At 40.9% G+C, this 12,314-nt stretch overlaps 1 protein-coding gene across 2 annotated transcripts in view; it reads left to right on the top strand.

The window, feature by feature from the left end:
* The window catches only part of DNAJC8 (DnaJ heat shock protein family (Hsp40) member C8), a 32,752-nt gene that overhangs the window by 12,423 nt on the left and 8,015 nt on the right, over positions 1–12,314 (top strand). For both annotated transcript variants that reach the window (NR_159454.1, NM_014280.3), the window contains 4 exons: positions 5,611–5,667; positions 9,970–10,036; positions 10,541–10,635; positions 12,194–12,265. Coding sequence is in view for 1 of the 2 variants with exons in the window: in NM_014280.3 (NP_055095.2) it covers positions 5,611–5,667; positions 9,970–10,036; positions 10,541–10,635; positions 12,194–12,265 (291 nt within the window). In the remaining variant the exon portion in view is untranslated. The remainder of the gene's footprint in view (positions 1–5,610; positions 5,668–9,969; positions 10,037–10,540; positions 10,636–12,193; positions 12,266–12,314) is intronic.

Genomic DNA, 12,314 nt, shown 5'->3' with positions numbered 1-12,314 from the left:
AATGTCCTCATCTTGGGAGTGGATTAGTTATCTCAAGAATAGACTTGTTACATATGTGAGTTTAGCCCCCTCTTGCCCTTACCTGATGACGGCCACTCAACCTTGAACTTCCCAGCCTACAGAAGTATAAGAAATACATTTCTTTTCTTTATAAAGTGCCCACTGTATGGGATTCTGTTCTGGCAACACAAAACAGACTAAGAAAAGTAGTGAGCACAGTATCTAGCTATCTTAGAAAATTTTTGTGCTCTACAAGTTGGTACTGAATGTATAAAGCTGGCTTCAAAGAGGACCGGCCGCAGGTAAAAGTCCATTGTCTTCACCATGCCACGTGTGGCACCTCCAGCTCTTAAAGACAAAAGAGGAGTTGGATTGGCTTTGAAGGCACTCAGTGAATATTTGTTCTGATATAACTCTTGGAAAAATAACTTTTGGAGTGTGTGTTTGTATGTGTATGTAGGTATATATACTCTCCTCCTTTTTGCCCAATCATGTGGTGAAAGTAAGCTCCAGGTGTTGTTAACACTTAATGCCTAAATACTTTAGCATGCATCTCCTCGAAACAAGAACAATTCCGTGTAACCACAACACTATCACCCATTGGAAAATAACACTAAGAAAGAATAGAAAGGCCGGGCACAGTGGCTCACGCCTGTAATCCTAGCACTTTGGGAGGCTGAGGTGAGCAGATTGCCTGAGTTCAGGAGTTTGAGACCAGCCTGGCCAACATGGTGAAACCCCATCTCTACTGAAATACAAAAAATTAGCTGGGCATGGTGGCAAACACCTGAAGTCCCAGCTATTCAGGAGGCTGAGGCAGGAGAATTGCTTGAACCAGGAGGCGGAGGTTGAAGTGAGCTGAGATTGCTCCACTGCACTTGACAGAACAAGACTCTGTCTCAAGAAAGAAAGAAAAAAAGAATAGAAATCGTCCGAACTTCACAAAAAAAGCCTCTAATAAAACTAGAGCTTAAGAAACTTTAGCCATAGGAAAACCACATCAAGTTACTTTATCCAGCATACAGTCCACATGCAAATGGGCCCAGCTGTCCCCAAAATCTCCTTTATAGCTATTTTAGTTTAATTTATTTATTTATTGAGACAGAGTCTCACTCTGTTGCCCAGGCTGGAGTGCAGTGGCACGATCTCGGCTCACTGCAAGCACCGCCTCCCGGGTTCATGCCATTCTCTTGCCTCAGCTTCCTGAGTAGCTGGGACCACAGGCGCCCGCCACCACACCTGGCTAATTTTTTTGTATTTTTAGTAGAGATGATGTTTCACCGTGTTAGCCAGGATTGTCTCGATCTCCTGACCTAGTGATCTGTCTGCCTCCGCCTCCCAAAGTGCTGGGATTACAGGCGTGAGCCGCCACACCTGGCCAATTTTAGGGTTTTTTTTTTTAACTCAAGAACCACTATAACCATTTTACTGTCTGTATATATCCCATAACATCATGTTGTAATCCCCAAATACACACAGCAGAATTTATTTTTTAAAAAGAAATCAACCAGGGTTTATGAATTACATTTGGCATGATTAGTTGTAAGCTATAATCTTATCAGAGGCTTTTTTTGTGAGGGTGGGACAATTTCTGTTCTTTCTCATTTATTTGGGCGCCTTCTGGGATTTGTTGGACTTTGGTTTGCCCCTAGAGATTCCTTTTCCTCAGAACTAGTGGTTTTCCTATGAATATTTTTGTTTGAACAGTTACAGTCCCTCGTCTGTAAATCTTATGTGACTTTGCTCTTCCTATTGAGTGACTTTCCCAATTCCTTTCTCCTTGGGAAGTTATGAGAGTGGGGCACACTGACATGAAAATTCTCATTTTCATGCACCACCATGCCTGGCTAATATTGTATTTTTAGTAGAGACGGGGTTTCTCCATGTTGGCCAGGCCTGTCTCAAACTCCTAGCCTCAAGTGATCTCCCTGCCTTGGCCTCCCAAATCACTGGGATTACAGGCGTGAGCCACTGTGCCTGGCCAGGGAGACCCCATCTCTAAAAACATTTTAAAAAGTCACCAGGCATGGTTGTGTGCTCCACGCACTTACAGTCCTAGTTGCTCAAGAGGCTGAGACCAGAGGACCACTTGAGCCCCAGAGCTCGAGGCTGCAGTGACCTATGATTATGCCACTGCACTCCAGCCTGGGCAACAAAGTGAGACACTGTCTCAAAAAAAAAAAAATTATTTGTTTAAAGAAGTGTTGCTTAAGGCTGGGTGCGGTGGCTCACGCCTGTAATCCCAGCACTTTGGGAGGCTGAGGTGGGCAGATCACCTGAAGTCGGGAGTTCGAGACCAGCCTGACCAACATGGAGAAACCCCGTCTCTACTAAAAATACAAAATGAGCCGGGCGTGGTGGCACATGCCTGTAATTCCAGCTACTCAGGAGGCTGAGGCAGGAGAATCGCTTGAATCCCAGAGGCGGAGGTTGCAGTGAGCCAAGATCACACCATTGCACTCTAGCCTGGGCAACAAGAGCGAAACTCCATCTCAAAAAAAAAAAAAAAAAAGAATAGAAACCATCCGACCTTCATGAAAAAAGCCTCTAATAAAATTAGAGCTTAGGAAACTTTAGCCATAGGAAAACAACGTCAAGTAACTTCATCCAGCATACAGTCCACATGCAAATGGGCCCAACTGTCCCCAAAATCCCCTTTATAGCTATTTTAGTTTTTTTTTAACTAAAGAACCACTATACTATAACCATTTTACTGTCTGTATATATCCCATAACATCATGTTGTAATCCCCAAATACACACAGCAAAATTTATTTTTAAAAAAGAAATCAATCAGGGTTTATGAATTACATTTGGCATGATTAGTTGTAAGCTATAACCTCATCAGAGGCTTTTTTTGTGAGGGTGGGACAATTTCTGTTCTTTCTCATTTATTTGGACGTCCTCTGGGTTTTGTTGGACTTTGGTTTACCCCTAGAGATTCCTTTTCCTCAGAACTAGTGGTTTTCCTATGAATATTTTTGTATGAACAGTTACAGCCCCTCGTCTGTAAATCTTACGTGACTTCGCTCTTCCTATTGAGTGACTTTCCCAATTCCTTTCTCCTTGGGAAGTTATGAGAGTGGGGCGCACTGACTTGAAAATTCTCATTTTCATGCGCCACCATGCCCGGCTAATTTTGTATTTTTAGTAGAGACGGGGTTTCTCCATGTTGGCCAGGCCTGTCTCAAACTCCTAGCCTCAAGTGATCTCCCTGCCTTGGCCTCCCAAAGTACTGGGATTGCAAGCGTGAGCCACTGTGCCTGGCCAGGGAGACCCCATCTCTAAAAACATTTAAAAAAGTCACCAGGCATGGTTGTGTGCTCCACGCACTTACAGTCCTAGTTGCTCAAGAGGCTGAGACCAGAGGACCACTTGAGCCCCAGAGCTCGAGGCTGCAGTGACCTATGATTATGCCACTGCACTCCAGCCTGGGTAATAAAGTAAGACACTGTCTCAAAAAAAAAAAAAAATTATTTGTTTAAAGAAGTGTTGCTTAAGGCCAGGCGCGGTGGCTCACACCTGTAATTCCAGCACTTTGGGAGGCCGAGGCAGGCGGATCACCTGAAGTTGGGAGTTCAAGACCAGCCTGACTAACATGGAGGAACCCCATCTCTACTAAAAATACAAAATGAGCCGGGCGTGGTGGCGCATGCCTGTAATCCCAGCTACTCGAGAGTCTGAGGCAGGAGAATCGCTTGAACCTGGGAGGCGGAGGTGGCAGTGAGCCGAGATCACACCATTGCACTCCAGCCTGGGCAACAAGAGCAAAACTCCGTCTCAAAAAAAAAAAAAAAAAGAAATCGCCCCACCTTCACAAAAAAAGCCTGTAATAAAATTAGAGCTTAGGAAACTTTAGCCATAGGAAAACAACATCAAGTAACTTTATCCAGCATACAGTCCACATGCAAATGGGCCCAGCTGTCCCCAAAATCTCCTTTATAGCTATTTTAGGTTTTTTTTTTAACTCAAGAACCACTATAACCATTTTACTGTCTGTATATATCCCATAACATCATGTTGTAATCCCCAAATACACACAGCAAAATTTATTTTTAAAAAATCAATCAGGGTTTATGAATTACATTTGGCATGATTAGTTGTAAGCTATAATCTTATCAGAGGCTTTTTTTGTGAGGGTGGGACAGTTTCTGTTCTTTCTTTTATTTGGGCATCCTCTGGGATTTGTTGGACTTTGGTTTGCCCCTAGAGATTCCTTTTCCTCAGAACTAGTGGTTTTCCTATGAATATTTTTGTATGTACAGTTACAGTCCCTCGTCTGTAAATCTTACGTGACTTCGCTCTTCCTATTGAGTGACTTTCCCAGTTCCTTTCTCCTTGGGAAGTTATGAGAGTGGGGCGCACTGACTTGAAAATTCTCATTTTCATGCGCCACTACGCCTGGCTAATATTGTATTTTTAGTAGAGACGGGGTTTCTCCATGTTGGCCAGGCTCGTCTCAATCTCCTAGCCTCAAGTGATCTCCCTGCCTTGGCCTCCCAAAGTACTGGGATTACAGGCGTGAGCCACTGCGCCCGGCCAGGGAGACCCCATCTCTAAAAACATTTTAAAAAGTCACCAGGCATGGTTGTGCGCTCCACATACTTACAGTCCTAGTTGCTCAAGAGGCTGAGACCAGAGGACCACTTGAGCCCCAGAGCTTGAGGCTGCAGTGACCTATGATTATGCCACTGCACTCCAGCCTGGGCAACAAAGTGAGACACTGTCTCGAAAAAAAAAAAAATTATTTGTTTAAAGAAGTGTTGCTTAAGGCTGGGCGCGGTGGCTCACACCTGTAATCCCAGCACTTTGGGAGGCTGAGGCAGGCGGATCACCTGAAGTCTGGAGTTTGAGACCAGCCTGACCAACATGGAGAAACCCTGTGTCTACTAAAATTACAAAATTAGCCAGGTGTGGTGGCACGTGCCTGTAATCCCAGCTACTCAGGAGGCTTAGGCAGGAAAATCGCTTGAACCGCGGAGGTGGAGGTTGCAGTGAGCCGAGATCTCGCCATTGCACTCCAGCCTGGGCAATAAGAGCGAGACTCCATCTCAAAAAAAAAAAAAATAGAGTTGTTCCTCCTATTGGCCCTACCCCTGCTCTATGGGGTTGGAATCAGACTTTCGTAGAGTGGGCCAGCCATTGCTCACAGGTTTCCACAGGTGATTCTAATATTCACTCTGATTGAGAACCACTGGGCCTTGTAAATTATAAAGTGTCCATTGGGCTATTTTTTTCTTTTTTGAGTTATTACGGTTTCTCGACATTTGCAAAAATAAAGGGAGGGGGAGTTAAACTCTTTTAATGAATGAAGGAGAAATGCAAAATTTTCTCATGTAAAAATGTCTCTGGGTGTAAAATAAATTATTATTTTTATGATGAAAATAAGCATTATGTTATTTGAGTACCATAAGACAATATAATTGTTATTCTGTTGATTTGATCATTCATATTTCTTTAGCAATTTCTAGAACTGTGTGCCAGCCTGTGTTCTAGAACATGGGGTACTATTCTAGATGCTGATTATAATATATATAATTACTGAGCAACTCTTAAATATACATGTAATTTATTTTCACCTTTTTTATGGTTTTGATTTTGATACTTCCAGGTTCTTCAGATAGATCCTGAAGTTACAGATGAAGAAATAAAAAAGAGGTTTCGGCAGGTACAGTACTATTTCCCTGTTTGAACTTTTTGAAAATGTATGAAGCACATGATTCTTTTATCACTTGCTATTATTGACTTGATATGTTTGGGCCAAAATTTAACTTTTTTTTAAGGCTGTGTAACTGTTTTGTAAAAAAAAGCTCATAATAATATATAAAATCTTAAATAATTTAATGACCATAGCTTACCTATGAATAGAATGAATTTTATATCCAAATAGAATCTCTGCAACTCCTTAATTAAGAGGGATAAGTATAAAGTAGAATAATAGAGCTTGCATGGAGTTGTAACTACCAAACCCCCTGTCTTCTAGGAGGGAACATATCAAATGATTCATAGCACATTTTTATCTTTAAGACTCCATTTGTCTGTAATTTTATCTTTTATTTTTATTCTTATTTTTCGAGACAGAGTCTTGCTTTGTCGCCCACGCTGGAGTGTAGTGGCATGATCTCAGGTCACTGCAACCTCCACCTCCTGGGTTCAAGCAGTTCTCCTGCCTCAGCCTCCCAGGTAGCTGGTATTACAAGTGCATGCCACCACACCCGGCTAATTTTTGTATTTTGGTAGAGACAGAGTTTCCCTATGTTGGCCAGGCTGGTGACGAACTCCTGACCTCAAGTGATCTACCTGCTTCAGCCTCCCCAAAATGCAGGAATTACCGGTGTGAGCCACTGCACCCGGCCGTAATTTTATCTTTTGCCAACTTAAATGAATACCTAAGAGATAACTGGTATAAAGAGTGCTTTTTGAAAGTTCTCCAGGAAAGGAGATCTATAGCTTCTGAATCTTGCCCATTCGTAGGTTTAATAACTGGAACTACAAAGTTTTAAAGTAAACTTAAAAAAAAAATCCTTCCAGTTTTGACAGCTGAGTAACCCTCCCCCCAGCCTTTTTTTCTTAAAAATTATTATTATTTTTTGAGACAGGGTCTCACTCTGTCACCTAGGCTGGAGTACAGTGGTGTGATCTTGGCTCACTGCAACCTGTGCCTCCTGAGTTTAAGCAATCCTCCCTCCTCAACCTCCCCAGTAGCTGGGACTACAGGTGTGCATCACCATGCTCAGATAATTTTTGTATTTTTTGTAGAGACAGAGTTTCGCCATGTTGCCCAGGCTGGTCTCAATTCTGGGCTCAAGCGATCTGCTGGCCTCAGCCTCTCAAAGTGCCATGATTACAGGCATGAGCCACCGTGCCTGGCTACCTTTTTTTCTGAGTTGAATAATCGTAGTCCCTATAATTTGCCTTTGCAAATTGGATTTTCTATATATTCCATGTCTTTTAAAAAAACTTTCCTTAGCTTCTTTATAGTCTTATGTACTTCATATTTTAATAGGGTCTGACCAGAGCTGAATGTAATTTTCAGCTTCTGATGAGATACTTGTTAATATCCAGTGGTGTGCTTGTTTCTTCAGTACAGTAATTTTCCCCATATTGCTGACTCATAGTCATTTTCTGATCTACAGTTAAGCCAAGATGTTTTTTAACTTGGTCTACGTAATCATATCCCATTATATAACTTTATAGCTTTTTTTTTTCCTTCCTAAGCTCTACTCTATACTTATATTTAGCTTTTTCCTTTTTCTAAAATTTCAAATTTTCTAATATGCATTACTAATCATTCCCATATTAATAAGCATTTAAGTTCATAGTCAAAACAATTTTTTATGTAGCTACATAAATAATAAGAGTTAAGAATTCTTAATAAATCATTAATATGGACTGATAGTTAAGAGTGTGCATATTGGAGCTATACAACTAGTTTAAATCTTGACTGTACCACTTAACAAGCAGTGTAAACTTGAGCAAGTTACATTTAACCTTTCCGTGTCTGTTACCCCGTTTGTAAAATGTAATAATGGTGTCTATCCCATGAGTTTGTTGTAAGAATTTAAATGATGTATTACACAGAAGGCATTTAGAGTAACTCTTGGCACATAATGTATCCTCACTATATGCTAACTATTGTCAGCGTGTGTTAGTCTGCTAATTTCTTTACTTGCATTGTTTGTTTCATTCTTATATCAGCCCAATTAGATATAGGTACATAGTATTATCTCATTTACAGAGCAGGAAGCGGAGGCAGAGATAGGTTAAGTGATTTGCTCGAGGTCTCATAGCTAGTAGGTGATTGAAGTTGGAATTAGAACCCAGCATAATGGTTCCAGTAATGCTGAACGGAGCGTTAGATTCCCATTTGTTCTCATTCCCCGACATAGTTCCCTGGGTTCCAACTAGTTGGTTTCTGTCAATTGACAATATGTCATGGTTTTTAACTGTGAGTATCTGAATTACCTATGAAAGTTCTTTTTTTTTTAGCTGGTTTATTATAAAAATTTTATATAGAAAAAAGAATGGACAAGCATAGTGGCTCATGCCTGTAATCCTAGTATTTTGGGACATTGAGTCGGGCAGATTGCTTGAGCTCAGGAGTTCGTGACCAGCCTGGGCAACATGGTGAAACCCCGTCTCTACAAAAAACGAAAAACAACAACAGCAAAAGCCAAAAATTAGCCGTGCCTGTAGTCCCAGCTACTCAGAAGGCTGAGGTGGGAGGATCACTTGAGTCCAGGAGATTGAGGCTGCAGTGAGCTGGGATAGCACCATTGCACTCCAGCCTGGATGATAGAGCAACACTCTGTCTCAAAAAAAAAAAAAAAAAAAAGAATAGAACAACGAATATTCATGTATCCACCATCTATATTGAATAGTTAATTTCATTTATATATATATATATATATATATATATATATATATATATATATATATTTATTTATTTATTGAGACGGAGTCCGGCTCTGTCACCCAGGTTGCAGTACAGTGTTGCGATCTTGGCTCACGGCAGCCTCCACCTCCTGAGTTCAAGTGATTCTCTTGCCTCAGCGTCCTGAGTAGCTGGTATTATAGATGTGTGCCACTGTGCCTGCCAAATTTTTGTATTTTTAGTAGAGACGGGGTTTCACCATGTAGGCCAGGCTGGTCTCGAACTCCTGACCTCAAGTGATCTGCCAGCCTCAGCCTTCCAAAGTGCTGGGATTACAGGCGGGAGCCACTGCTCCTGGCAGACACTGACTATATATTTAACTATATATTTTTGGCTGAATCATTGTAAATTGCAATAAACCATGATGCTTTACCCCTAAATACTTCAGCTTGTACCCTTCCCAAAAAAAGGACATTTTCTTGCATAATCACTTATCCCACCTAACAAAATAAGGGCTAATTCCCTACGATCATCTGAAACCCAGTCTAGTAGAGGTTTACAAAGTGCAGATGCCAAAGACTAACTCAGAAGGTCTGAGGGTGGAAATTAGAATGTTGTCTTTTTCAGAAGCTTCACAGGGTTGGAGCACAGGCAGAATGAGAAACTGCTTTAGATTAGGAGTTCTTTTAGGAGAGAGTTGATGTCTCATACCTGCTTTAGCCACCTTAGTGCTTAGTACAGGTTGAGTATCCCTTATCTGAAATGCTTGAGACTAGAAGTATTTCAGATTTCAGATTTTTTCAGATTTTGGAATATTTGCAGAATGCATAATGGTCGAGCATCCCTAATCCGAAAATTCAAAATGTTCCAATGAGCGTTTCCTTTGAGCATCATGTTAGCACTCAGAAAGTTTCAGATTTTGGAGCCTTTTGGATTTTGGGTGCTCAACCTGCATAAGGAACATAATAGGAACTTGATACCTTTCAGTCTCCCTCCTCCCCCAAATTATTACAACATCTTCATAGTGCTAGGCTTCCATTTGTTTTTGTTTTTGTTTTTGTTTTTGTTTTTTCCTGGAGACAGGGTCTCACTTTGTTGCCCAGGCTGGAGTGCAGTGGCACAATCTCAACCTCCCAGGCTCAAGTGATTCTCCCACGTTAGCTTCCTAAATAGCTTGGACTACAGGCGACCACCACCATGTCTGGGTAATTAAAAAATTTTTTTTTTGTAGAGACAGGGTCTTGCTATGTTGCTCAGGCTGGTCTCGAAGTCCTGGGCTTAAGTAATCCTCTCACCTCAGCCTCCCAAAGTGGTGGGATGACAGGCGTGAGCCTCTGTGCCTGGCATGTTTGGTCTCAACTTTGTGATTAAAACCTGAAATGTTTCCTAGTTGTACCTTTACCTTTTGGTGCTTGAATTTTGTTAAAGATCAGTATTTCTGGGCATTTAAAGAGATTTGTTAATTTTTTAAATGCTTTTGCTAAGAGTCTCTTTTTGCCGTAGGACCTTAGAGCTTTTGGTTGTAACGAGACAGGGCAGGCTGGAAGTTAGTAAATGTTTCCCTTATTGACAACCCCAACTTTTCTCTTATTGTAGTTATCCATCTTGGTGCATCCTGACAAAAATCAAGATGATGCTGACAGAGCACAAAAGGCTTTTGAAGGTATTTGTAAATTTACCTGCTTCTGAGTATTAGATTGTGAATGGCAGGGCCTAACTGTTCCTTGTCCTAGATCAAGCAAAGACTGTTATAGTTTTGTCTTCTGGTCACCAAGAAGCTGTGGTTTTCAGTAGAGCAGTTGCCATTTCAAAGCAGAATGTTGTTGTTTAAGAAGTAGACCTTAACTTTGCTTTGTTAAAACTTTTATATGCCAACAAAGACTGTTATTGCATAGGATCATTTTTTTTCTTTGAACATAAAGAATTTTATCACTGAATTAAATCCAGATGTAGTGTATTTAGCCTTGAGTATATATTTAATTTTTTCCAAGGCTCTTAAGGAAAGTCATTGCTATAGTTGAATGTTTTTTTTAACTTAGTTTAACGACAGTAAATAATTAAAGTAGGGAATGCTTTAGAGAGCACAAGTCCATTTACACTGCCTGAGTATAGTTCAGACTTTCAGAGGGTGTTTGCAGAAACAGTTAATTTCAATGTTTTGCATTAGCTGTGGACAAAGCTTACAAGTTGCTACTGGATCAGGAGCAAAAGAAGAGGGCCCTGGATGTAATTCAGGCAGGAAAAGAATACGTGGAACACACTGTAAGTATTTATAGTGCTGCTGTGTTTACAGGAAGTATCAGCAAGCCTTGGGCACCTTGTAGAAGGGTACATATGAACATAGTAATGCCTACTGGCACAACCTGTGGCTACTTCTGTGCTCTCTACCACTTTGCTGTGGTGGTCATGAATAGTGTGTGCCTGAAGCTGTAATTCACCCCTAAGAGAAGAACTCAGATGAGGAGTAGCTGGTACACTGCTCCTACCTCTTTCCCTACCAGTCCTGTGTTGGGGAGAAAGGGTTGTTCTCTCCCTCTCATCACATATTGCCACTTACCCCATTCTTAGAGTGGAAACGTGGAGCAGCCTGTGACTCTTGACTCTTGATTTTTATTCTTGTCCCTGTGAAGGGTTTGCAACAAGGCTTGGCAAAGGCTAGCAAGAGGATAGGCGTAAACTTTTTTTAAAATAGGAGGAGGTTTATGTCCATCTTAATAACAGAGTTGGGAAGAACTCAGTTGAAGGAAACTGAGTTGTAGCTGGTGTTATTTTTGTTTGCTCTTGAGGGCATACATAAGTCTCCAATGTGGTGGGAAATGTCAGTATGGCTTTCCCAAGGTAAGAAAGGTCTTTTAACTTTTTACTTGCTGGGGCAAGAATCTTGAGGTCATTTGTAAGAGCTGCTTCAATTGTGATTGGATGACTTTTCACATGAAGAGCTTTGAAATCTGAGACAACTTTATAACCATAATAATGAATCCAGTTTCGGTGAGGAAAATGGATAAGAAGAGGAGACAAAGGGCCCATAACTATATCCTGCGGGTCATGTGTTGGAAATGGCACTTGTAGGCCCTATCCTGGTAGAAATAGGGAAAGTGCCTGACAGTTTCTCCTTAAATCATTGTGGCTTCGTATGTCTTTCACCTGTAAGAAAGTCATCCTTAGGCTTCCTGACCACAGGGTGGCAGTAGGGCCTTTCTGAGCTTAGAGGGTACTTGGCCTTTGCTGGTATAATAGACTGGTTAGTTCATGGAGTAGTGTCATTCTTGTATGAATTCGTATATTTATTTATTTATTTTTTATCTCAGTAGTGGCCAATGTGATAAAAGTATCAGTTAATATGATATGTGGTTTAAGGAGGTTCCATGGTGAAAGTGATCAAGAATGCAGTTATAGAAATGCCAGAAAAACTACTTGGACATAATGCCACAGATTCTGTAGCTTCTTCTAAAACTTGACAGATATATTTGCTTTGCTCTAAACACATAACCACAAGCCAAGAAAGGTAAATAAGTAGTCTGTTTCAAAGACTTTTTGGATCTGATGAGTTGGGGACAACCTCCCGTTGGTCCCCTTTCATCTTTCATTCTTCCTGGTAGATTGGATTTTAGATGAGATTAGAAAAAGGACTTGTGGTTCCTAATTTTCCTTGATTCTGTTGTTCTTTTGAGGAGGGAGGGGAGGGGCTCTTTTTTTTTTTAATGAAAACTTTTTGCTATACCCGTGCCTATAGAAAGTTAAATATATTGTATGTGTACAGCCCAGTGGATATTCTCAAAGCACAGATGCTCGTCTTTTGATGAAAAAAAATTCTTTTTAGGTGAAAGAGCGAAAAAAACAATTAAAGAAGGAAGGAAAACCTACAATTGTAGAGGAGGATGATCCTGAGCTGGTGAGTTAAATATAGGAAAAGCCACTGTATCTTGTGTGATTGTGTCTAC

The sequence above is a fragment of the Homo sapiens genome, chromosome 1, assembly GCF_000001405.40.
Source record: "Homo sapiens chromosome 1, GRCh38.p14 Primary Assembly".
NCBI lineage: Eukaryota > Metazoa > Chordata > Mammalia > Primates > Hominidae > Homo > Homo sapiens.
Note: the sequence above shows the minus strand (reverse complement) of the source record. Positions and strands in the feature narration are given on the sequence as shown.